Source organism: Homo sapiens, chromosome 10 (genome assembly GCF_000001405.40).
Source record: "Homo sapiens chromosome 10, GRCh38.p14 Primary Assembly".
Lineage (NCBI taxonomy): Eukaryota > Metazoa > Chordata > Mammalia > Primates > Hominidae > Homo > Homo sapiens.
Window position 1 is genome coordinate 84,823,774 of NC_000010.11, and position 1,770 is coordinate 84,825,543.

The 1,770-nt window shown below is 35.6% G+C and overlaps 1 annotated feature.

Annotated features, from left to right (window-relative positions):
* Positions 632-801: an enhancer, noted in NCBI's record as "experimental_17738 CRE fragment used in MPRA reporter constructs". NCBI's record gives its function as "activates a minimal promoter by MPRAs in K562 erythroleukemia cells, with activity observed for the non-introgressed 10:86584246 variant allele {active_cell/tissue: K562}" and the evidence as "EXISTENCE:reporter gene assay evidence [ECO:0000049][PMID:34662402]".

Consider the following 1,770-nt stretch of genomic DNA (forward strand, 5'->3'; position numbering starts at 1 on the left):
CATAATTACCTTGCTAGGGATAAGTCTCTGGGTGGAGGTCTTTGAAGGGTCAAGAAGAGAAGAGAGGAGAAAGTAAATGTCCTCCCCTTTTTCTTCCTTTTCTCATCTTTTCCTCTTCAGTTCTTATACTTTTTTCTTTCTTTTTTAAAACTAAAGCTATTTTTTAAAAGTATTTTATAAAATTTAGAAAAAAGAAAGAGGAGAAATTTTACTCATAATCTTACTATACAAAGACAAGCAATAATAACATTTGAGCCATTTTTTCAGTTTTTTGCTCTGCCTACTTTTTCCTAATTATGATTTCTTTTCTTTCTTTTTTTTTTTTTTGAGACAGAGTCTTGCTGTGTCGCCCAGGCTAGAGTGCAGTGGCGTGATCTTGGCTCACTGCAACCTCTGCCTCCCGGTTTCAAGCAGTTCTCCTGCCTCAGCCTCCTGAGTAGCTGAGACTACAGGCTCATGCCACCACACTGGGCTATTTTTTTTTGTATTTTTAGTAGAGACAGGGTTTCACCATGTTAGCCAGGCTGGTCTCGATCTCCTGATCTCGTGATCCACCTGCCTTGGTCTCCCAAAGTGTTGGGATTACAGGCGTGAGCGACCGTGCCGGCTCTAATTATGATTTTTTTACCTGTGTTTTATTTCACATTATGTGTTATTATGAATTCTTTATGAACAACTTTAATGGCTACATAATAGTCCAGCAGATGGGAATAATATCAATTACTTAGTAATTCTCTTATTGTTGAACATTTAGGGATTTTCAACATTCATTTTCATAAATAAATAAGAGTAAAATAAATATCTCTGCAAATAAATACTTCGCTGTATTTAAAAATATTTCCTGAAGATGGAGTGCTAAAAGTACAAATACTATGTTTAAGTATGTAAATATACTTACTACTCTTTCTTTTCTTTCCCTTTTCTCTCTTTCCTTCCTTCCTTTCTCTTTCCTCCCTTCCTTTCTCCTCCCCTCCTGCTTCCTTCCTTTCTCTTTCTTTCTTTCTCTTTCTCTCTCTTTCTTCCCTCCCTCCCTCCCTCCTTCCTTCCTTTCTTTCTTCCTCTCTTTTCTTTCTTTCCTCCCTTCTTTCTCTTCTTCTCAATAAAAATTCTATATATTTAAGGTGTACAACATGATGTTTGATATGACATATATCATATATACATACTGAACATACATATATATATATACAGTACATATGCATAGTGAAGTGATCACTACATTCAAGCTAATTAATATATCTATTTTCTTCCATGATTACCTTGTGTGTGTCTCTGTGTGTGTGTGTGTGTTTGTGTGTGTGTAGTGATAGCACCTGACATCTACTCTTGTAGCAAATTTCCAGTATACAATATTGCATTATTAACTATATTCCTCGTGGTGTACATCAGATCTCTAGACTTACTCATCTTACATAATCACAACTTTGTTGTCTTTCACTGAGTATTCTTGATATAACAAGAGGACAGTATATGTGTGTGTGTGTGTGTGTGTGTGTATTTAACCAAGTTGTTTTCTGAAAGGGTCATATACATTTATACACCCAAACCTATTTTCTTAAATTTTGTATTTTACATTAAATAATCAACACCACCACAATCACAACAACAAGCTTTACTAATTTTGTGAAATCTGATTTTTATGTTGGCAAATGAATAAAACATTCTTCAAGTACATTCTGAGGTCAAAATACACTTTGGGAATGGAATGTGTCTGTGAGTCACCAGCTTACAGAAGCAGCCTTGTCTGGCAGGGAGCTGGTGCTGCAGCAG